General features: G+C 38.9%; 1 protein-coding gene across 1 annotated transcript in view, besides 2 other annotated features; it reads right to left on the bottom strand.

The window, feature by feature from the left end:
• The window catches only part of CORO2B (coronin 2B), a 209434-nt gene extending 189814 nt beyond the window's left edge, over window positions 1-19620 (bottom strand). The window contains exons 1-2 of the mRNA NM_001324014.1: window positions 19400-19620; window positions 2334-2398 (exon numbers count right to left, since the gene is read on the bottom strand). The gene's annotated coding sequence lies outside the window, so the exon portion shown is untranslated. The remainder of the gene's footprint in view (window positions 1-2333; window positions 2399-19399) is intronic.
• Window positions 18408-18907: an enhancer, noted in NCBI's record as "H3K4me1 hESC enhancer chr15:68811425-68811924 (GRCh37/hg19 assembly coordinates)". NCBI's record gives its function as "activates a minimal SCP1, AML or CMV promoter by ChIP-STARR-seq in naive H9 embryonic stem cells {active_cell/tissue: H9 hESC(naive)}" and the evidence as "EXISTENCE:reporter gene assay evidence [ECO:0000049][PMID:30033119]".
• Window positions 18908-19409: an enhancer, noted in NCBI's record as "H3K4me1 hESC enhancer chr15:68810923-68811424 (GRCh37/hg19 assembly coordinates)". NCBI's record gives its function as "activates a minimal SCP1, AML or CMV promoter by ChIP-STARR-seq in naive H9 embryonic stem cells {active_cell/tissue: H9 hESC(naive)}" and the evidence as "EXISTENCE:reporter gene assay evidence [ECO:0000049][PMID:30033119]".
• Window positions 19621-25554: the final 5934 nt, after the last annotated feature.

Below are 25554 nucleotides of genomic sequence, written 5' to 3'. Positions count from 1 at the left end.
CAAGGCTCCCCGCCACACACCAGAGAGCTGATGCTCAACACATACTTATTAAATGGAACTTACTAAGCTCCAACCATGTATTCTATAGCAGGAGTTGGCAAACTTTTTCTGTACAAGACCAGATAGTAAATATTTTAGGTTTTGCCACAGAGGATCCCTGTAGCAACTACTCAAGTCTGCTGTTGTGGCTTAAAGGCAGCCATAGACAATATGTAAACAAGGCCGTGTTCCAAGAAAATTTATTTAAACACTGCATGTTCTTACTTATAAGCGGGAGCTGAACAATGTGAACACGTGGGCACAGGGAGGGGAACAACACACACTGGGGCCTGTGGGGGAGGCGGTGGGGAGGGAGAGCATTGGGAAACATGGCTGACGCATGCTGGGCTTAATACCTAGGTGACGGGTTGACAGGTGCAGCAAATCACCATAGCACACATTTACCTACGTAACAAACCTGCACACCCTGCACATGTACCATAGAACTTAAAAAAAATTAGCAAAAAGGTCCCAAAACTTTATTTACAAAAACAAGCAGTGGGCTAGTCTGACCTACTACAGCCATGGGCTGTAGTTTGCTAACCTCTGCCCTAAGTCATAGCAGCCAGAGTGCCCATGCTATTGCCTAGTAGTCTCTGGAGAATAATGGCCTCTCCTCTTTCACCCTCCAGATCTCATGTGAGTGTCCTCACAGCCAACTCTAATCCAGAACCACCCTGAAGGGAACTCTGGGAAATGTAGTTCTTGGCTTCTCCTCTTCAAGAGGGTGGCAGTGATGCTAAATTGACAACAGGTAATCCAGCATACCAAGGTGTCTGAATCACCTAAGATTTACAGGCCAAGGTGCCAGGATGACAGAAACCAACTTTTCAGAATCACCTATTGTTCTTTGGATTAAAACACTAGATTAGGCTTGTGTGTGAGTGACACAAAATCCAAAATAAAAGTGCTTCAGTGAGGCAATTTAATTCTGCCTCACATCAGGTAGGTTTGGGGTGGTGCTCCACAGTGGCAGGAGCTCCTTCAATCTCGATACACCACCATTCGTGGTTTCCCTGCCAGCATCACTTCCTGGCTCCAGGTGGCTGCAGGAAGCAGGCCAACATTCCAGCCAATAGGAAGGAGGAAGGGCTGATGAAGGGCATAGCCCCTCCATTTACAAATATTTTCCAGAAAGTGTCTCTGCCACTTCTGTTTCCATGTCATTGGCCAGACCTTAGTCACAAGGACAAACTTAGCTGCAAGACAGAATGAGAAATTGACTTTTTATTTCAGTTTTTATTCAGAAATTTAGTTTTTAGCTGGCCATGTCACAGCTAAAAATCAGTGGTCTATGACCAAGGAAGAAAAAACAAATATTAAAACACTATCAGTGGTCTTTGACATACCAAAGTATCACAATCACACTTTGCAAAGGCTAAGATTCTGAAACCACATCACGTTATTACAGGCCAGTGTTACAGAGTTGCATCATATTCTTACAGGCCAACGTTCTGAAATGCTGTGCTATTATAGACCAGGGATTCTGAATCACTTAAGATTCTCATTGGCTAAGGTTCTAGAATTAAATAGCAGTTTTTTAGGCCAAGATTCCAAAGTCACATAAGATTCCTACAAGCCAAGATTCAAAATCACAAAACCTAATAAACCAACCTTTGCAAGTCACATGAAATTCTTGTGATCAAGCATCCAGAAATATATGAGATTTCTAAAGAACAAGTTCCAAACTCATGCAAGATTCCTACCAGCCAACGTACATGGAGATCAAGATTCCAAAATTAAACTGAACTTCTTGTAGACTAGGCTTCCAGACTCACACAATATTCTTGTAAAGCAAGTTTCTGACGCCATACAGTGTGATTATAGTGCTATTCTGACAGCTATGATCCTGGAATCAAACATATTTTCTATTTCAAGCCAAATTTTCAGAATCACATAATGTTTTAATAAACTAAGTTTTCAGAACCATATAAGTTTATTATAAATCAAGTTTCCAGAAGCACACAAGGTTATAAATGACATAACATTATTAAAAGCCAAAATTACAAATCATATATCATTTTTAAAGGTCAATGTTCCAGAATCACCTGAAGTTCTTTCAACCATTGTATCTAGAAACACACAGCATTCCTAGAGGCTAACATTCCATAAATCCATACAATTCTTACAAACCAAGTTTCCAGAATCAAACGATGTTCTTAAATAACCTGAGTTCTTGAATCCTACATACTGCTTGTAGATGACATTCCTGGTCTCTGGTTCCTAAGTCTCCCAAATGAGCTAGCGATTGAAGTTGACTGTGTCCTCCCAAATTAAGATTCACAAAATATTACCTTTTTCAATGCCAGTGGCAGGTGCTCTCTCTCTCTCAGGAACCCCAACAGATTCTAGAAATGTCCTACGAGAGACAGGAGGAGCAGAGTGGTATCAACACTGTATGAAAGCTTAATAATAATAATAATAATTAGAACAACATTTATTCAATGTCTACCATGTGCCTCATACTAAGTTCCTGACATACTTCATCTCATTTAACCACCCCAGCAACTCTGTGGTTGACTTATCTTTGTAATTAGTTATCATCAATATTCTCATTTTATAGATTAAAAAATCCAGCCTCAGAAAGATTAGGTAAATTGACTAAGGTCATACAACTATGAAGTAGCAGATTCCAAATTATAACCTTGGTTGTTGATTCCAGGGCTACAGAGAGATGCCTCCAGCGTTGAGGCAGAACATAGGATAAGGGTTTCTTTTATTAGGCCTCTACCTTTGGGATCAAAACTGCTAAATTCCAACAGAAACATGATCAAAGGAACCATCTGAAGAAATGATCCTTCCTCGGGGTGGGCAAAAGGTGAGGTGCCTAGGAGACTCAGAGAGGCATACATCTAAATAAGGTGGTGATATGGTGTGGCTGTGTCCCCACCCAAATCTCATCTTGAATTGTAGCTCCCATAACTCTCACATGCTGTGGGAGGGACCCAGTGGGAGATAACTGAATCATGGGGACAGTTTCCCCCATACTGTTCTCATGGTAGTGAATAAGTCTCACAAGATCTAATGCTTTTATAAAGGGAAACCCCTTTTGCATGGTTCTCATTCTCTCTTTTGTCTGCTGCCACATAAGATGTGTCTTTCGCCTTCCGCCACGATTGTGAGGCCTCCCCAGCCACATGGAACTGTGAGTCCTTTAAACCTCTTTTTCTTTATAAATTACCCAGTCTTGGGTATGTCTTTATCAGCAGCATGAAAATGGACTAGTACAGCTAGTCAGGATGAAGCTTCCAGTGCATTCTCATGTAACATAACCCATTGTGTTGGAACATGTAGGAAGAATGAATGCATTGGCTAAGCAGCTGTACCCTTCAGCGTGTTTTCAAAGGGTAAGTTAGCAGTCTTTAATTGGCAGTAAATAGGGAAAAGGGGATTCCTGGACTGGCTGACAGGAGTGCTCTGGTCCATTTGGCAAATAAATTCCTAAAGTGAAAGTTGAGTTCATTATCCAGTAGTTACTCATTGAGCTTCTCTTGTGTACCTGGATCTGGAGATAAAACACTATGAAGATGTTTAGGGCAAAATTTTTGTCTTTAAGAAGTGCCACTTTACCAGGAGAAATAGGTGAACAAAGATAAAACATTAGTGCAGCTAGGAGAGGACTGCATGTGTGTATGCAAGTGTGTGCATGTGTGCACACATATGTGCAGGTGTGTGTACACATATGTGCAGGTGTGTGTACACATCCATGCATGTGTGTATGTGTATGCACAAGGAGGTGGGGAAAAGAAAGCTTCATGGAAATGAAGGTGGTAAGCTGCATCTAGAAGGGCAAGAAAGAAGTCTTCTAGGTGGGGTGGTTTTGGCAGAGGTGGTGGGAGGCCTTTCTAGCCAGAGGATCCACCATTATGCAGGTTGTCCAGGGGAAAGAGTATCAGCATGCATGGAGAACTATGAGGCACATGTCCTATCTTAGAAATAGAGCTTATGTTAGGAAGCCAGGGGTCAGGGAGAGTTTAGGGCCAGACTGGGTCTTGTTTGGATCTGTCCTGGAAGCTACAGAGAGGCACTGAACATGAGGATGTAAGGAGGCTGGGCACAAGCTTGTGAGGGCTGTGATGGGAAAATGACCACAGAAAGGTCCCCACCCTTTGATTACCTTCTCTGGGATCTTGTATTTAGGGAACAGATGTTTCAGTTGAATATTCTATACTCTTGCTCTAATACATTTTCATTATGCTTGTTTTAAGAACTGTCATGTCAAAAATAATCTTTGAAAATGTTTAAGACACTGATTTTTAAAACTATGCTTGGGGAGGAATGGCTACTCAATTTCCTGACCTCATTCTCTCTAGGCCCCTGCCCAAGGAGGCCCAGCCTCAGGTTTGACTTCTCTCTTTTTACCACAAAGGAGTAGCAGTTATCACTAGTCAGCTGATACTCAGTGATCCAGCTGCACTGCATCTAGCCCCACAGTCTGTCAACAACATTGGTGAGTCTATTCCAGGTCCTTCTTGGTCAGGTTTATCTGTTTATTTGTTTATGTGTCCAGCTAACAATTTTGCACATATATTACATGTCTGTTTAAGCTGCAAACCTTTTAATCCATCTCTGCTCCCTCTAGCCTAGTTGAAAGTTTCTGAATTAAATTCAGCACACAAGATTTCCACTTCTGGTTATAATACAGCAACAGAATCCACACTTACCTTTCCATCATAGTAAACTAGCAAACAGATTGAAATATATTAAATAATTTTTCAGATATTGGTTAACAGGCACCATGGAGTATGATCTCAGGGGGAAGGGAAACAAAAAGATAAGCCAAATGATCTCTGGGGATTTGTGTCTAGAGGCACATTCTGGATTGTGGTGCAGGGAAGAATATCAAGTAGAGCATGAAGGTTTTACTGAGTTGAGAAGACAGAGATTAATGTTCAGGCACCATGAAGAAAAAGAGTTCTAAAAAGTGCAAAAGGATTTCATTGGATCTTTGCTGAATTATAAGCCATCCATGTGGAGGCTGAAACTTCATGAATTCAGGCAAAGAACAATGGTGGATTTTAAAGTTGAATAGTTCCCAGAGTTCATACAGGTAAGGAGATGTTTAGGCTCCAACTAGGCAGAGTGGAAAGTTCTTATTGATTGCCCAGGGCATTTACCAGAGCTGCCCTAATAAAGATTTAAACAAGACTTGAAAGAAGGAAGTTAATCCTTTGGCAATTTACCCTCCTTCCCAACATGCTTTACACAAAGGCAACAAAATACTGAACAGCGTAATATTCACAATTAAGCTAAAGTTTAATTAAAAATTACTAGACATGCCAAGAATCAGGATAATGTGACTCAAAACTAGTAGAAAAATCAGTCAGTAGAAGCAGAAACAGAAATGACAGAGATGACAAGATTAGCAAACAAGGTCTTTAAAATGCTATTGTAAATCTGCTCAATATGTTCAAGGACTTAAATAAAAATAGGAACACAATTAGGAAAAATAGAAGATATAAAAAAGAACCTAAAATTACTAGAGACAAAAAAATACAATATGTGAAATGAAAATTTCACTGGATGGGGTTAAGAACAGATGAGAAGAAAACATGAAGTTGGAGACACGGCAACAGAAACCACTGACACCAAAACAGAAATGCAAAAGGCTAAACAATAAATAAGCATAGCCACAATGTCTTATGGGGCAGCACCAAACAGTCTAATACATACGTAGCTAAAGTACCAGAAGAAAGAAAAAAAGATAGAAAAATATTTAAGAAATATTGGAGAAAATTTTCCAAATTTGATGAATAATGTAAACCCACAGATCCAAGAACCTGAATGAGTCCCAAACAGAACAAAACAAAAACAAAAAACCCCAAAGGTACATCATGATAAAATTGTTGAAAATTAGTAATGAAACTTTTAAAAGCAGTTGGAGAGAAAAAGACACTATGTCAGAGGAAAATAGATTAAAATACCACAGACTTTTTATCATAAACTATGCATATTAGAATACAATGAAAGACATTTTTAAGGTGCTAAAAGAAAAAAAATCCTGTCAACCTAGAATTCTATATTCAGTAAAAATATCCTTCAAAAACAAAGACAAACTAAATACTTTTTTTTTTCTTTGACAAAAACAAAGCTGCTAAAATTCAATCCTGGTAGACCTACACTCTGAGAAAAGCTAAAGAAAATCCTTTAGGCAGAAGTAAAATGATACTAGATGGAAACTTGGATTTACTTAAAACAATAGAGAGCATTAAAAGTAGTAAATATGTTGGTAAATATAAAATATTTTTTCTTATTTTGAAAGTTCTTTCTTTCTTTCCTTTTTTGAGATAGAGTTTCCCTCTTTCTTTCTTTCTTTCCTTCTTTCTTTCTCTCTCTCTCCTTCCCTTCCTTCCTTCCTTCTTTCTTTCTCTTTCTTTCTCTTTCTTTCTCTTTCTTTCCTTCCTTCCTTCCTTCCTTCCTTCCTTCCTTCCTTCCTTCCTTCCTTCCTTCCTTTTTTGAGATACAGTTTCCCTCTTGTGCCCAGGCTGGAGTGCAGCGGCATGATCTCGGCTCACTGCAACTTCCATCTCCTGGGTTCAAGTGATTCTCCTGCCTCAGCCTCCTGAGTAGCTGGGATTACAGGCACACATCACCGCACTCGGCTTGTTTTTTGTTTTTTGTATTTTTGTATTTTTAGTTGAGATGAGGTTTCACCAGGTTGGCCAGGCTGGTCTCAGACTCCTGACCTCAGGTGATCCACCCACCTCGGCCTCCCAAAGTGCTGGGATTATAGGCGTGAGCCAGCACACCAGGCCTTATTTTGAAAGTTCTTTAGAAGACAATTGAATAAGTGTATGACAATAATAGCATAAAGGATGGGTGGGGGAAATGAGAGTATAGTGTTGTAAGGGTCATGGATTGTATGTAAAAGTATGTAATTTTATTTAAAGTTGGACTATGATGAGCTAAAGATATATATTGTAAGCCACAGAGCAACCCCTGAAAATAAAACAAAAAAGAATGAGCAAAAAGTAGATGAGACAAACAAGAAACAAACAATAGAATGGCAGATTTATACCAAAAATTACATTAACTGTAAATGGTCTAAACAATAAAGAGGCAGATTCAACTATATGCTATCTATAAGAAATCCACCTCAAATGTAAAGGCATACATATTTTCTAAGTAAAAGGAGGAACTCAGATACACCATGAAAATAATAATCATAAGAAAACTGGTTTGACTACATTAGTATCAGAAGAAGTAGTGTTTAGAAAAAAGAATATCACTAGACATAAGAGAAATATTTAATTATAATAAAGCACACAATTTATCAAGAAGACACAAAAATCCTCAATATGTAAACTCATACTAATATAACTTCAAGAGAGATGAAGAAAAACTAACATAACTGCAAGGACAGACATTCATAATTATTGTTGGAGATTTCCATACCCCTCTCAATTACTGATAGTACAAGTAGTAGGTAAATCAACAAAGATGAAGAAGACTTGAGCAATATCACCAATTTGATCTAATTGCCATTTCTTGATTATCTACTCACCTCCACCAAAAGAATACATATTATTTTCAAGTATACATGGAGCATGTATTAAGAAAGGTCATTTTCTGTGCCATAAAAAAGTTTCAGCATACATATATATACATATTATTATTATTATTATTTTTGAGACAGAGTCTCACTCTGTCACCCAGGTTGGAGTGCGGTGGCGCCATCTTGGCTCACTGCAAGCTCCGCCTCCCGGTTTCACACCATTCTCCTGCCTCAGCCTCCCGCGTAGCTGGGACTACAGGCGCCTGCCACCATGCCCAACTAATTTTTTGTATTTTTCAGTAGAGACGGGGTTTCACCGTTTTAGCCAGGATGGTCTCAAACTCCTGACCTCGTGATCCACCCGCCTCGGCCTCCCAAAGTGCGGGGATTACAGGCATGAGCCACTGTGCCCGGCCGTCTCAGCATATTTTTAAGGATTGAAACAAAGCATATTTTCTGACCAAAATGGAATTAAAACACAAATCAACAACAGAAAAATATCAAAAATCCTAGAATGTATGGAAATTAAACACTTCACTTCTAAGTAACCTTTAGTTCAAAGAGTAAATCACAGGGAGATTTAAAGATATTTCAACTAAATGAAAATGAAAATTCTACATAACAAAATTTGTGACATATAGATATGGTGGTGATTAATGAGAAATATATGTCTTTAAATGCTCATATTAGAATGGAAAAAGGTTTTTATCAATATTCTAAGCTTTCATCTTTAGAAACAGAAGAGCAAATTACATACAATTGAGAAACTCAACAAAACCAAAAGCTGACTTTTAAAAAGATCAATAAATTGAAAAATTTGCGACAAGATTTATCTGAGAAAAAGAGAGAGTGAGCATGAGTGCTAACATAATGAATGAAAGAGGAGGCATAACTAGAGATGCTAGAGATAATAACAACACAGTAAGGGAATATAATGAATGACTTTATGTCAAAAAAATCAACAACTTAGATGAAATGGCCAATTGATAAAGGGTACAACTTAAAAAAGATAGAAAACCTAAATAGCCATATACATGTTATGAATACATTTCTTGAACGTTGTGATATCTCATCTTTAGAGTTGTTTGTGTTACCTATTGTGACCTGTGTTGACTGATATGACTTGAAAAGAACATAAGCAAATAAAATGCTCTGACTACTTACTCCTAAATTGATAAGGATATAGAGAGCAAAAAGCAGTAAATAGATTTATGCTTCCCAACATATTAAATATGATAAAAAATACTATCTCCTGACGAGCCACAGTAAGAATGTACCCACAGAGAGTCAGGGAATAAAACCCCAGCCTGCCAAACCACCTTCAAGCCACTTCCTATTGAACAACCCACGTACTTCGCTCCCTTTGTTTGTCCAGGAAACATTGGAGTGTCAGAGATCAGAAGATATCTAGTAGTTGTTGAGGCAAAGAGAAAGACTAATTTAGGATTAGTCTGCACCGTTTCCACCTTTTAGGTTTGCTTTAGCCATTTAGCTTTTAAAAGAAATAAATGCATGAATTTATAAACGTTTAATTAAGCCATTTTGTCTGCTTTTTCAGTTTTGTTTCTGCTAAAATTTAAGCAAAATTGGAATTGAAACTGAAACTGGAAACTTAAATGCACCACATATTCCTTGAAGAAATTGAATTCGTAATTTAAAAGCCCCTTTCCTATCCCCAAAACACAAAATAGTCCAGACCCAGATGAACTCACTAGTGAATTCCAACAAACACTTAAGAAAGAAATACCAATTCAAAAAAAAAAAAAAAACACTCAGAAAAAAGAGGAGGGAACATATTCCAACTCATTATGAGACCATCATGTCCCAATACAAATAAAACTACATACAGATATTACCAAAAAAGGGAAGAAAACTATAGATCAATATCACTCATGGTGATAAATCCTTACAAAACATAAGCAAATAGAATTAACAATATTTTAAGGGATAATATATCATGCAAAAGCAGGACTTATCCCAGGAAAACAAGATTGATTTGATATCCAAAAGTTAATCATTGTAATTCACCACATTAATAGAATGAAGGATAAAAACCATATATCCATCTCAATAGATGCAGAGAAAGTACTTGAAAAAACTCAGTGGTAATTTATCATTAAAATTACTAATAAACTAGGAATAGAAGAAAACTTCCTCAACTTGATAAAGAGAATATATAAAAAACGTATGACCTGATAAGGAGAATCAGTTTAAGGTTAAAGACTATATGGTTTCCTTCCAACATCAGAAACAAGACAAAATATCTGCTTTTATTACTTCTATTCAACATTGTCCTAAAGATCCTATCCAGTGAAATAGGCAAGAAAAAGAAATAAAAGACATCTGAATGGAAAGGAAGAAATAAACTGTCTTCATTAGCAGACAACATAATTGTGTACATAGAAAGTTCTAAAGAACATACATTTTTAAAGGTTTGAGAACTCCTAAGTGACTTGGTGACTTTAGTAAGATCACAGGATGCAAGGCTAATAAGTAAAGATCAGCTGTTTTTCTCTACCAACAACAATAGCTAGAAATAAAAATTTACAAAATACCATTTACAGTAGCATCAATTAATAGGAAACACTTTGGGATAAATTTGACAAAATATGTGTAAGATTTATACTTTGAAAACTACAAAATACTGCTGAGAGAAATTTTAAAAGAACTAAATAAAGGGAGAGCTATAATATGTTCATGGATTGGAGTATTGCTAAAATGTTAATCCACTTCATATTGACTGATAAAATTTCCGAGGCTTTTAAAAGTAATTGTCAAGCTTAGTGTAAAATTTATATGCAAAAGATTTAGAAAATCTGCAACAATTTTGAAAAAGAAAAACAAAGTTGGAGGACTTATATTACCTGATTTTCGAACTTATTACAAAGCTACAGTAATGAAGAGAGTGTGGCACTGGCATCAAATTAGTCACATAGATCAATGGAATAGAATAAAGAATCAAAAATAGACTCACAGATACATGGTCAATTGATTGTTAACATATTTCAATAAAGGAAAAGAGAGTCTTCCAACAAATTGCACTGGAATAATTAGATATTCATATGAGGAAAAAATAAACCTCACATAAAAATGAACCCAAAACAGGAAAAAGATCTAAAGGTGGAAGATAAAACTGTTAAACTGATAGGAAAAAAAAATAGAAGAAAATCTTTTCAACTTTGGGGTAAGCAAGGATTGCCTAGCTGGGAAAGAAAAATTAAAAAACCACAAAAGAAAAAATTCATAACTTGGTTTTTCTATTAATTTGTTAGGGCTGCCATAATAGAATACCACAGACTGGGTAACTTACATAACAAGTACCTGTTGGGGGCTGTTAAGTCCAAGATCAAGGGGCTGGCAGGTTTGGTTTCTACTGAGGCCTCTGTCTTTGGTTTTCAAACAGATGCCTTCTCACTGTGTCCTCCCACGGCCTTTTCTCTCTGCACACACCTCTCTGGTGTCTCTTCCTCTTTTTGTAAGGAAATCAATCCTATTGTATGAGGGCCCTACCCTATGACCTCATTTAATCTTGATCATCACCTTCAAGACCCTGTCTTCAAACACAGTCACACTGGAGGTTAGAGCTTCAACATAGGAATTTTGGGGGACCATGATTCTGTCGAAAACAGAACTTTAAGTTGGTGCCTTTTACTAGGTACACATACACAAAGACACTATATTTTAATAAAGTAAATAAAGAAATCTTTTTCAACATTTAAAACTTCTGCTCTTTGAAAAACATCTTCAGTAAAGGAAAAGACAAGCCACAGGCTGGGAGGAAATATTCATATAGCTGACAAAAGCTATATGTAAAGTGAACATTATATCCTGAATTTATAAAGAACACTTAGAACTCAATAATAACAAAAAATTTGAAAAATGCTCAATAGATTAAAAAAGATGGTTCCCAAAAGAAGATGCACCAATGGCCAATAAGCATGTGAAAAGATGCTCAGCATCATTAGTCATCCTGGAAATGAAAGCCTAAACCACAATGAGGTATGACTACACACCCATTAGAATAGTTAGTATTTAAAAGCTGACAATCCAAGAATTGGAAGGATGTGGAGCATTGCTGGTGACAGTCTAAAATGGTATAGCCCCTTCAGAAAATTTTAGAAATTTCTTATAAACTTAAATATACATTTATTATATGACCCAGCAATTGTACCCCTAGGCATTTACTCAAGAGAAATGAAAACGTGTCTATATGAAGACCCATCTGTAAGTGTTCATAACATCTTAATAAAAACCAAAAACGAAAACCAACCAAAATGTACATGCATAAACTGGTGAGTGGATAAATAAATTGTGGTACATGCATATAATGGAATCATGCTCAACCATAAAAAATGACTATTGATACATGAAACCACATGGATAAGTCTCAGAATAATTACGCTGAATGAGAGAAGCCGGGTGTGAAAGAGTACATACTTATGACTTCATTCATTTGAAACTCTAGAAACTCCAGAAATAACAAATCTGTGTTCCAGTGACAAAAAGCTGATCAGTGGTTGCCTTAAGCTGGTTGTAAGAGTGATTGATTGGGACACAACATATGCAAACTTTTTGGGCAGAAGAAGTGTTTTATATCTTGATTTTGATGTTGTACATGAATGTATACATTTGTAAAAACTCATCGCACTGTCAGCTTTAAGTTGGTGCATTTTAACACGTTATAATTTAATAAAGTAAATAAAGTTGATTAAAATTATTTTAAAAAAATCCAGCAAGCCCAGTTTGACTCTCTGCCCAGCAGCTTATTTTGTAAACAAAGTTGATAATTTTGACCCATTTTGGGGGTTTTGGTTTCTGTTCTGGGGATAGATATGAATTAGGCTGAATTTGAGACAAGAGTCTGGAGATTTTGATTGAGTGAGCAAGTAACAGAAATTACATTTCTACTTTTTAACAAATGAAAAATATTTTCACTAAACCCTGCAAAAGGCTCTGTCAAGAATCGAGTTAGCTTCAGCTGGGTAACTTACAAAGCCTTCTTGAGTCCTCCCATGACCCAGAATAAGGGGAAACTGTCCTTTTCCAAATTCTGACAGACTCACTAGTAATTTGCTTCAAAACATCTGTAGTCCTTCCTGACTTTTCCAGCAATGTTTCACAGAAAGCTCTTCTTTTCTTTTCAAAATGCTTCAGAATTTACTTTGAAAATGAAGTTTGTATCTGTCCCCCGTCCCCCCTGAATTTTGAGTGACTTATTTCAGAACTGGCTTCAATTTACATGCCTGTCATTTTAGACCATAATAAGCCCCATTAACTGTTATATGATGTCAGTTTGCTTTATTTTTGTTTTTGGGGTTTTTTAGGGGGAATGGGAGGAGGGTTAAGCTGCCTGTCTGAGAGTGGCAGATTTGGCTGATTTAGTTATACCCAGATGTGCCTAAATATAAGACAGAGAGGAATAAATACTGAGTAGGAGTTTTAGTGAATTTATGTTGTATTTCTCATAAATTCCTGTGGGTTCCTTTTGGCACCAGAATTTAATTTATTATTCTCTGTTCCTTTTTAAATAAAATCTGATGCAACAGTTAAGGGCTAGGCTCAGGCTGGGAGCCTCTGCCTCTGATCAGCTGCTGCAACATAATATAAATCAATTCGGCAAGTAATACCAGAGCATCTACTGTGTATTTAGACCTTTAGTGAGTCCCGTGGAGTGTTCAGGAAAATGTTCTGGCTTCAGGGAGCCTCCAACAGAAAAGAAGCATAAATGGTGACTAGACTTTGAGCTGGAAGAGCTAAATTTTAGTTAGGCCTCCTCTACCTAATTACCGGCCTTAGAAGAATTTATTTAACTTCTTGGTTAAAGAAATTTTTATGAGCTTCAATGTCTTCATTTGCAAAATGGAAAAAATATCCCTACTTTCTCCACAGTATCAAGGCAGGGTTCAAAGAAGGGAATGCTTAGCATGGCGCTTTTAAAAAGGTACATGCAATAAAATGGTGAAGTTCATTTATTAGAGTATGATTGGGGAGATAAGCCCATCTTATCTCAGCAAAAAGTGCATGAAAGAATTTATGATTTAGTTATTTCCTCATAGAACAGCAAAAAGGGATTAGGGAAAACAATAGATTTTTATTAATATTAATATCATTAAAACAAGATTTTAAAAGCTACAAGAGTCATACTTTTACTTCTGGTTACAATAAAGTAACTTGTGTCAGACCAAAGTTTCTAGTGAAATAAACTTAAAAAGCTGGAATTTTTTCTTTTCTTTTTTTTTGAGACAGGGTTTTGCTCTGTTGCCCAGGCTGGAGTGCAGTGGTGCAATTATGGTTCACTGCCACCTCCTGGGCTCAAGCGGTCCTCTCATCTCAGCCTCCCAAGTAGTTGGGACTGCAAGCATGCACCACCACACTCAGCTAATTTTTTAATTTTTTATAAAAATGAGGTCTCACTATGTTGCCCAGCCTGGTCTTGAACTCCTGGGCTCAAGCAATCCTCCCACCTTTGCCTCCCAAAGTGCTTGGATTGTAAGCATGAGCCACTGAGGCCAGCCTTGGAAAAAAATATTTTTAAAAATATCTTTGAAGAATTGTAGGACACCCAAGGCAACCACTATTTAAGGGGCCAAGATTTTGGAGAAAAAAAAGGAAGTTCTTTGAAAGATCTCAATATCTGGTCATCACTTTTCCCCTTGGGATATGGGAGGCTGCAGGGCCTGGTAGGGTTTACCCACAAAGAAGCAGAGAAGCCAGCAGAGCTTTAGGCTATCTGATAGAGCAGAGGAACAAAAAAGGACAGTTCTAGGCTCCCAAGGCAGCTGACTTGAGGAGCCAAGGTCCAAGAGACAATGGAGGCACAGAAAACTAAACCTGACAGTTAGCATTTTTCCACTTGAGGTATTTGTCAATTCTTGGCTGTGCAGGGTGAGAAGCTAAGAAACTAAACAAAAGGTAGTTGGGAAACCTTTCATGGTCTCTGGGAGACAAAAATTGGAATTTAGGGCTGGGTACAGTGGCTCATGCCTATAGTCCCAGCACTTTGGGAGGCTGAGGAGGGAGGATTGCTTAAGCCCAGGAGTTCAAGACCAGCCTGGGCGACATAGGGAGACCCCCATCTCTACAAAAAATTAAGAAATTAGTTAGGCATGGAGTCGTGTGCCTGTGGTCCTAGCTACTTAGGAAGCTGAGGTGGGAGGATCACATTGAGCCTGGGAGGTTGAGGCTGCAGTGAGCCATGATTATGCCATTCCACTCCATCCAGCCTGAGTGACAGAGTGAGACCCTGTCTCAAAAAGAAAAAAGAAAAAAGAAAGAAAAGAAAAAGAAAGAATTTAGGATTTTCTAAGAATGAGTGGCCGACCCAAGAAATACCCCTGGACCTGGATGGCTATACTCTTGGAGGAAAAATGACAAGAGAAAGAACAAATTTGTAAAGACTAAAACCAACTTCAAGTCAGTTCAGCCCTTGATTGAATGGAGGTAAACAAACAGCCCCTACTCTAACTGCATGCCAGAGAATAGAATGAACCCTCTATAGAAGAAGATGTTATCATCCAAAGTCTCCACATGTTTTAATATAAACTCTCCAGTATTCAATAAAAAATAGTAAGTATTCCAAGTTACAAGACCAAGAGAAAAAACAGGCAAGAAAAACACGCAGGAAAAATAAACCCATATGTGACTTACATATTAGGGTTATTGGACACTAAAACAACTGTGATTAATATGCTCATAAAAAGATATAACAAGATGAAGAATTTTGCTTGAGAACAACAATCTATTTTTAAAAATCAAGCAAATTCCAAAACTGAAAAGGAATATAATTGATGAAACCAGTCTGACCATCATGGTGAAACCCCGTCTCTACTAAAAATACAAAAATTAGCCAGGCATGGTGGCACGCACCTGTAATCCCAGCTACTCAGGAGGCTGAGGCAGGAGAATCGCTTGAACCCAGGAGGCAGAGGTTGCAGTGAGCTGAGACTGTGCCACTGCACTCCAGCCTGGATGACAGAGCGAGACTCCATCTCAAAAAAAAGAAAGAAAGAAAAAGAATTCAATAGATGGCTCAACAATAGATTGGCACAGCTGAAGAGGATTAGTTAAGTTGTGCTTAAAGAGCATATAAGAGATATATGAGACATGGTGGAGAGTTTGAATATTAACACAATTGGAGTCTCAGACGAGAAAGAGAGAAGAATGGAGAAGAAGTGGTATTTAAAGAGATATGGAAATAATGACTAAGAATTTTCCAACAATGCCAAGACATCAAGCTAGAGATTCAAGAGTACTACAAAGTCCAAGCAAGAAAGAAAATGACATCTAGAAACATCATTGTGAATCTTTGAAAATTACAGGTAAAGAGAATATTCTTTAAAGGAGTCCATGGGGCCAGGCATGGTGGGTCACGCCTGCAATCCCAGCACTTTGGGAGACTGAGGTGGGAGGATTGCTTGAGTTCAGGAGTTAAAGACCAGCCTGGGCAACATAGGGAGACCTTGTCTCTACAAAAAATTTTACAAATTAGCCGGGTGTGGTGGCACATGCCTGGTCTGTAGTCTCATCTACTTGAGAGGCTTTCGTATTTTTTTCATTGGAGACGGGGTTTTGCCATGTTGGCCAGGCTAGTCTCAAATTCCTAACCCATCTACTTGCTTGAGCCTGGGAGGTCGAGGCTGCAGTGAGCCACTGCTGCACTCCAGCCTGGGTGATAAAGTGAGAAAGAAAAAAAAAAACAAAAAAGAAAAGAAAAGAAGTATATAGTGAAAAGACACATACCTTCAAAAGCACAATAAAAAGATGAAAGCCAGAAGACAATGGAATGATATCTTCAAATTTATAAAATAAAAATAATTGACAATCTAGGATTCTATAGCCAGTGTAAAAACTTTCAAAGTGTATGCGAAATAAAGTTATTTCTAGACAGGCAAGAGTAAAATGACCCCAGATGGCAAAAAAGGAAATGTAAGAAGGAATGAAGAACAACGGAAAGGGTGAATATGTGGGTACATCTAAATAAACATTGACTTTACAAGAAAATAATGTAATGTGACATTCAAAATATATATAGAACTAAAATGTAGACAATAATAACACAAAAAGTAGGGGAATGAGTTAAAATGTACCAAGCTTGTGGCACTGTCCAGAATTTACAAAAGTACTACTTTATATTAGATTCTAAAAAGTTAAGTAATCTATGGCAATCTCTAAAATAATAGTAACAGAATGTAAAACTGACAAGCTAATGGGGGAGATGGAATAATGAAAAATAGCTTATTAATTCAAAAGAATGCAAGAAAAGGGAACATAAAACAGGTCTAGGAAAAATAGAAAACAAATAGTAAAGATGGTAGATGTAAAACCAAACTTATCAACCAAAGAACTAAATACTCCAATTAAATGTAAATGAATTAAATACTTCATTTAAAAGACAAAACTTTTTTTTTTTTGAGATGGAGCCTTGCTCTGTCACCCAGGCTAGAGTGCAGTGGCATGATCTTGGCTCACTTCAACCTCCACCTCCCAGGTTCAAGTGATTCTCCTGCTTCAGCCTCCCAAGTAGCTGGGATTACAGGTGCACGCCATCATGGCTGGCTAATTTTTGTATTTTTTTCAGTGGAGATGGGGTTTTGCCATGTTGGCCAGGCTAGTCTCAAACTCCTGACCTCAGGTGATCCACCCGCCTCGGCCTCCCAAAGTGCTGGGATTACAAGCATGAGCTACTGCACCCGGCCAAAGCTTTTAAGACTGGATTTTTAAATGCTATGCTGTTTACAAGGGTCCTTAAATATTAAGCTGAACCACATTAATGTGCCGATAGTCAACCATATTTGACTTATAAAAATAGCAGTTTCTTATAGTTCAACCTAAGATGAGGGCATAGTGAAGCTGAAAGTAAACGGATAGAAAAATATACCCTGTGAACTGTAACCAAGAGAAAGTAGAGTTTAAGGCAAGAAGCATTTCTAAGCATTTAAGAGAGACATTTCATAATGATAAAAGTGCTAGTCCATCAGGAAGATACAACTTTTCCAAATTTTTATGTATTTAACGCCATAGCTTCAAATTACACGGAGCAAAAATTAACAGGAGAAATAAACAAAAATCACTATTTTAAGGGGAGACTATAATATACCTCTTTCAGTAACTGATGGAACAAGCAACAACAAAAAAATCTGTAAGGATATAGATCTGAACAATGTAACTAGGAAAATTCACCTAATTGCATACACAGAAGCTATGCTGTCCCTAACATCCATAGAAAACGCATTCAAGTGTACATGGAACATTTATCAACATTGATCACATGCTAGCCCATAAAGCAGATTTCAACACATTTCAAATGGCAGAAATGATTCAAAGTTTGTTTTTTGACCACAGTGGACTAAATCTAGGAATCGATAATGAAAGAATAACAAGAAAATTACTAGATGATTGAAAATAAAGCATCATGCTTCATATAATACATAGATTTAAAAAATCACAACAGAAATGAGAAAATAGTTTGGATTGAATGCTATGATAAATATTATATATCAAAACTTATGGAACTAAAGCTGTGCTTAGTGGAAAATGTATGACTTTAAATACTTATATTAGAAAAAGTGAAAGGCTGAAATCAATTTATCTAATATTTATCTCAAGATACAGCTAAAGCTATGCTTGCTATGCTTAGAGAGCTATGTATAGCCTGAACTTCATGTATTAGAAAAGAAGAAACGCTGAAAGCCACTTATGTAAGTATCTATCCTAAGACATTAGAAAAAGAATGGCAAGCTATACAAATAGCAAAGAAAATAGTCAGAAGGAAATAATAGAAATAAGAGCAGATATTAATGAAATAGAGTATAAACAACAAAGGAAAATCATCAAAATCAAAAGTTGGTTGTTGGAAAGACTAATGAAATTGATAAACCTCTAGAAAAACTAAGCAACGAACAAAGAGGGAGAGCAAAAAATCATCAATATGAGTAATGAAAAGATAAATATTAATGAATTTATACAGGTTATATAGCAGAATGGTATGAGTGCACCTTCTAAAATCAGACTGCCTAGAGCTTTGGGGTTTAAAATAGAATTAATAGTATAGAATTACCTATGATAATATAGAATTAACCTATCTGACAGTTTTGGTAAATTCTTGATCATTATCTTTTCAGATATGACTTTTGCCCTATTTCCTCTTTTTCATTTTTCTGGGACTTCAGCCAACCACACATGCTTATACATGTGTGCTTGTGTGCATTTGTACGCTTTCTGAAGGTCTTCTCCTTAGCCCTTGTCTGTCCTGGCCACATTTTCTGCAGGCTACTGGGCTTGGGTTTCCCCAGAGATGCCCACAGGATGTGTTTGCCCTGGGGTGTGGAGCAGCTGCAGCTGAACAGTTTTGCCACCCGCAAGGGCTCCTGTGCACATGTGCAGGACTGAGCATCTGGGTCAGGGGCTCCTGAGTGTGAGGCAGTCCTGGGCCGTGCATACTCTGCTTTGCTCCTGTATGTACAGGTTCGGGCCTGGAACAAGGCAACTGGGGCACGTTATCTGAAATCACTGTCTAGAGAGCAGAGACCCGGTCCAGGCTCCTCCTCATAAACTAGAGGTCTTCCAGGGTGCTGAACCAGGGGTCTGGAGTCCTTGGGCCTGAGGGACCAAGAGCAGATGACTTGCTCTGGGTCTTGCTCATCAGTGTTTATGGCTGTCAAGAAAAGGACCCTCTTTCCTTCAGCAGCCCCCCACCCCCTCTCCATCAGAAAGGAGCAAGGGAGGGCATCACAGGGTTCCCAGGAAGCCCCTGGGGACCCTAGGGTAGAGATCAGCCCGAAGCCTGTTTCTCCAGTCACAGCCAAAGCTATGCCCAGAAGGCCCCAAGTCTGGCAGCAAGGGTGCAGTGCTGCTGACTGGACTCACCTTGGAAGGCAGAAACGGGATGCTGCTTCCCAGGGAGCAAGGGGGAAAAGAGCCAAAGGGAGGAGGAGAGAAGAGAGTAGGGAGAAGGTAGAAGGGCTGAAAATGGAAATGGGCAGGGAACAGAAAATGGGGTGGGAGTGGGCAAGACAGAAGGCAGGGAATGAGGACAGGGGAGGGAAGAAGAAAGGAGAGGGAAGCAGGAAAGGAAGAGCTCGGTCCTCATCGCTGCCACCCACGCCTTTCATGTGCTGCCTCAAGACGATTTGCATTTTACCAGGGATGGTGCCTGGAATCCTACAGCATAAAGCACTCATGATGGTATTTCAGGCACAGGGCTCTCAGATGCAGGAGCCTGCCCTCAATCCACATCTTGGAGGCCTTGGAAAGCTTTCCTGCCTAGGCTTAGGATTCGCTCCAGGAAGCCAGAGCCTATCCACTGGCAGCTGAGAGCTAGAAATGGGAGAAGCTTTTCTTGTGTGTTTTCAAAAGGCTTTGCTCTTTCAAAACAACTTTTCAACGAGGACCTTGAAAACCAGAATTACTCTCAAAGGATAAAACTACCTTCCCCCAGCCCTGTGTTCCAGATTGCAAAAACTTCTCTTGCCCTGGGATTTTGGGCTCAGACCCTTCCCTGGCCTTATGAGGGTACATGCAGTTTGAGGAATATCCTTTCACAGTCAGGACAACCAGATTAATAATAAATCACCATCAGGCATGTATGGTTTGGCTCGGAGGCCGTTCTGGGAATGGGGATTCAAGGCAAAAGAATCTGGCCTAATGGTTTTTCCAATGGTCCCAGTCCTGTGTTTTCACAATTCTGGCCTTCAGAGACCCCCATTTGCTCCTCACCTCTCCAGGCCTTTAGCGACCATCCTCCTCTCCCTGGGCCCTCAGACTCTAGGACTTAAGCTGGTCTGTGGCCTGAGAGACTGGATGGAGGAGGCTGTCCCTTTTGTCTGGAGGAGGAGCAGTAAGCACTGCCCAGCTGCAGAACACAGCACTCCAGCCGGGCCACCAGGCGGCAAGGCGAAGGTGGATTTCCAAGTGGAAGGCAGTGAGAACTGTTGGAATCCACCTCCAGAGTCACGGAATTTTTTTTTAAATGTCCTTTTCAAACACATACTTTGAAAAAATATTTAAAGGCAGGGGAAATTAATTAGGGCCCTTTGTGCTGGAATCGCCTTCCACAGCATTCCTTCAGCAAGAGAAGTAAAAATAGAACCTGTGAGAGTTTGAAAATGCACTGCTCACAAAGATCATATTTAAGAGGCCAGCTAGGCATGACTATTCAAATAGGAAGAATGGAGCTAATTATTTCCATCACTGCAGGGGGGAAACAGTGGCCGTCTTCTTGGGGTCGTCGGAAACAGCCTGAAAACTGGAAAAACCCGCAGGAGGCTGGGAGGAGAAGCCTTTCCAAGGGACAGACCCTGCTTGTGCCCCTTAGAATAATCATCACTTTTGTCCTAACTTTGTTACTGATAAAGAGTGAGGAAATCAGGAAAAATGAGTGGAGAAAAGGAAAGCATTTGGAGGATATCAAAAGTCCCTCCTATTTATGCAACAACTTGACTTTTTTTTTTTTTTTTTACACATTTTCCCATTCATTTGCTCCTCAACTAACCCCAGGAAGTAGGCTTGGTAGGCATTTTCATTTTCCACAAAAGAGAATGCTTGATGAGCCCAAAGTTACACAAAGATGTCACTGGCAGGCTAGGTAAGGCCCAGAAGTCAGGTGGTCTGACTCCTACCTGGCAAAGTTTCAGTGTGACATGGTGCCGTGAGTGTGGGCTTCAGAGTCAGGAAAGTCTGAGATGAGGTCTGGGATCAGCCACTTACTGGCAAGTCACTCCCGCTCTCAGCCTTGGTTTCCACATCTGTAATATTTTTCCTGGGACCTTAGGACCTAAATAGGTTCCCTTTTAAGGGCTGTCATGAAGATGAAGTGAAATGATTTGTCTAAATAACTCAGCACAGTGCATGGCCAATAAAAAGCACTCAGTCAGCTGTTGTTACCATTGTTATCATTGTGCTGTGTGATGAGAACAACAGGAGAACATTCTGGAGAAGGGAAGGATAAAGCAGCCATCAGAAACACTCCACTCAGAGGCATCCAGTGTCACAGCACAAGTCCTAAAGCAGGAGTCATGCGACCTTGGGTAAATCATACAGTCTTTAAGACTCCATATTCTCATCTGTAAAATGGGCATCGTGATATCTTCTATGACTGGGGCAAGGCCATGTGTTCCCCATACCATTTCTGCTTCCTGGGTTCACAGTAGAAATGACATTTTCCAACTCCCTTGTAAGATCAAGAGCCCTGCAATGATCACCTTTTGTAGTCATTGTCATCATCATCAACATCATCACCATCCCCCACTCTGTAATAGCACTTTACAGTTTTCACAGTAAATTTCAACATTTTATCCCATTTCATTCTTACAGAAATTCTGATTCCTATTTTATAAACAAGAAAACTAAGTTTGAAGAGAGCAAATGACTTTGCCCACTCTATGGAGGGAGAAGCAGGACTCGAACACAGAACCCTTGCCTCCACATAGCAGTGCCCCTGGGTAGCACCCTGGGGCACCTTCAGACTTGCCCTAAACAGACACATTTTCCTCCGTGGCCTCTCCTCCCTTCCTAGGTTAGCCCCCCGGCCAGCCTCTAGGGAGGTAGGTGGGAGCAGGGGATGTCTAGCTCTGGATGAGCTGGGCAGGGCTGACTCCCAGCAGGGCTACCTTGCTGTGTTGGAAGCAGAGTGATAGGCAGCCCCAGAGCTCTAAGTAGAGCCCGTATGAGAGGCAGTGCCAAGGTTTGCCATGGCCTGGGGTGCTAAGACGGATCTGTCCAGAGCACATACTGTAAAGACACCCAGAACAAAAGCCATTTGACCAAAGGGATCAGGCATGGGGCTCCTTGCACAGTGTAGTGTAGTGAGAGCTGCTCATCTTGGCTATGGAATGACCTCAACCCTGGCCACAAACAGACCCCTAAAACCAGGCACAAACCAGCTCCAAACCTCAGTCACAGGCTGACCACAAACCCAGTTATAGTTACCCCTCCTAGAGACTGACTCCAAGCATGAACCATACTTGAATATTGACCCCAATCCTCAAAGGCTACAGCTCAGTGCCGTGAACTAACCACTCCCTGACCACAGACTGACATCTAACCCTGGCCCCAGATTGGCTTATTGTACCCTGGCCAGATTGACCCTAGAACAGCAGCTCTCAAGCATGTGCCATTGGTCATATAAGACAGAGGGGACAGGTGGGTCAGCCCAGCACATCTTCTCTCAGAACACTTAGACCCCCAGAGGGTTGGGGAGGGAGACCCAGGGTCATCTCTGTATATGCATATATAACCAGAATTGTGCAATTTGGCATTTCATTTCTGTTTGATAATACTTGGTACCTTCCTTATATTACCATATTTCAATTGTAAGAAGCACAATTGAACATTTCTGTAATGAGGGTGTGTTTATAATCAATGAAGCCTTGTGAGTTGCTGTTGGCCTGGTAGTTGCTGTGATGTTGTTGTACATGTAGGAATCTGTCCATGGCTTTTCATGTCATTGGTGCTTCAGCTCTGCAGTTTTTCATGGTTGGCACCATAGGTATTCAGCTCAATTACTGTTTAAAGTATCTTTTAAAAACAACAACAACATGGCTTTTTAATTGACAGTCACTCAGCCATTTCTAAGTAGGTGTAGTACTACCTTTCAGAACTCACATTGGCAAGTATAAAAAGATGACTTAAAGCGAAGTGAGGACAAAATCACATTCTGCATACTAACCTATTTCTTTTTTTCTCCCTTTAAGGTGCTAAACTTGCACCTCATGTCCACTCAGTAACAAGTATTGGGATGTAGAGCACAGCCTCACTCAGCTCTGAAAGGTAATACAATCTGTGAGGGTGTGAGCCAGTGGCCTTTGCAATTGTGGATCTTGAGCTCTGCTCTCAGCAGATTTCAGATGTAACCATTTGTTAACTGTACTGAAGGCGTGTCCTTAAGAGGAAAGTGTTCAAATTAAAAAACTGCTGCCAGAAAAAAATATATATATTATCTGACCTTTAAACAAAAAGGTACTATGCTCAGAGAAAGACATGGTAAGAGGGCAGCAGATGGCAGTTTGATTTTAATGGAAGAAGTTGGAAGAATGATAATAATTTTCCCATTTTTCTTCACAGTAACAACTGAATGTTTTATAAGACCCAAGAAACATTATAAGGAGAGTATAAGAAAAGTATAGATGATTTCACTTATTACCCTAGTTACAACCCTTCATAAAATATGAGTAAATTATTTTTAAAATAGCAAATCATGACTAAGAAGGGTTTATTTCAGGAATTTAAGAATGGTCCAATATCAGAAAATCTATCTGTGTATTTCACCACATTAATAAACTAAGGGAGAAAAATCACATGATATCTAAACAGATACAAAAAAAATATTTTAAAAGTTCAACATCGCTTTATGATAAAAACTCTCAGATACTAAAAATAGACAAGAACTTCTTTAACTTGAGTATGGCTCTCTACTAAAATCCTACAGTAAATATACCTAAGAAAATGTTTAAAATTTTAGATACATTCTTCTTATGTTTAGGTACAAGACAGGAATGACTATTATTATTCAGTGTAGTACTAGAGGGCCTGGCCAATGCAATAAAATAAGAAAAAGAAATGAGGATTGTAATATAACTGTCGTAATGGAGGAGCTAAAACTATCAACTGTGGATAATATCATGATCTACAAATAAAAACTAACAATCCCACACAACTTATAGAGCTATGATAAATAGTTCTTCAAGAGAGCTGGTTAGAAGATCAACCTAGGTAATTCATTAGCACTTCTCTAAAATAGCAGTAAATTAGAAAAGTAGAAAATAAACTTCTAGTCAAAATAGCAGCAAATTTACAAGTCATCTAGAAAAGTGTAAAATTAACAAGACATTTGTGGATCAAATTGTAAAACTTTATAACAAAGATAAATACTAACTGGAGGCAAAAGGTAAATCTAAAAAACTTATAGAAGACATACTAAGAATAGTAAGACAATCCAAGAATATCTGCGACTGCGGGAATGCTTTTGTTTGCAAGGCCCCAAGGGTATAAACTTTAAAAGAGAAAAGTGATTATTTGTCTACATCAAAACTAGCATTTTTGTTCAATAAATAACACAATGTGCAAAGGTAAATGATAACTTGGGAGAAAACACTTTAAATGAATAAAACAGACTAGATCTGAAAAAAGACATAAGAAACTCGCAAATCAACAAGATGACACAACCCAATGTCAATCAGGAAACTTAGCTTTGAGAGAAAAATGGAAGGAAGTGTAAGAGCTAATACACAATAACATTTATGTCAGTTAAAAACATATACACATAACAGCACTGTATATTTCCCATGTCTCTAAAAACATATATTAGATATCTAAAGAAATGTATTAAATACATTGGAATTAAACATGGTTCATGCTTGGACTGAATGAGGAGAGGAATTAGACTACTTTGGGGGATAAAAGCAAAAAGTAAAACAAAACAAGACGGGGATGTATTTTCCTATTGCGGTCATAACAAATTTCCACAAAATTAATGGCTTAACACAACACAAATTTATTACCTGACAAGTGCTGGAGGTCAGAAATGCAAAATCAGTTTCACTGGGCTAAGGTCAGCTGTCAGCAGGGCTGATTCCTTCTGGAGACTCTGAGAAAAAACTGGCTTCCTTGTCTTTGCCTTTCCTTGTAGAGACTGCCTGTATTTCTTGGCAGATGACCACTTTCCTCCCCTCTCTAGCCAGCAGTACTGCTTTGTCACATCTCTCCCTCTGACTCTGCCTCGGGCCTCCCCGTTATAAGAACCCTTATGATGACCTTGGGCCCGCCCAGATAATCCAGTATCATCTCCCATCCTTCACTTAATCACATCAGCAAAGTCTGTTTTGCTGTATGAATTAATACATTCCTAGGTTCCTGGACATGGAGACATTTGGGGGGCCATTATTCTGCCTACCACAAGGACCTTGCATGGATAGATAATGATGGGATCCCAGGCATCCAAGAGAGTAATTTCCTTCATTCTCTGTAGTTCAGGGTTAATAGAACAGTGCTCTGTCGGGAGGGCAGGTGTGCTGGGACAGTGTATG

Source organism: Homo sapiens, chromosome 15 (assembly GCF_000001405.40).
Source record: "Homo sapiens chromosome 15, GRCh38.p14 Primary Assembly".
Classification (NCBI taxonomy): Eukaryota; Metazoa; Chordata; class Mammalia; order Primates; family Hominidae; genus Homo; species Homo sapiens.
Note: the sequence above shows the minus strand (reverse complement) of the source record. Positions and strands in the feature narration are given on the sequence as shown.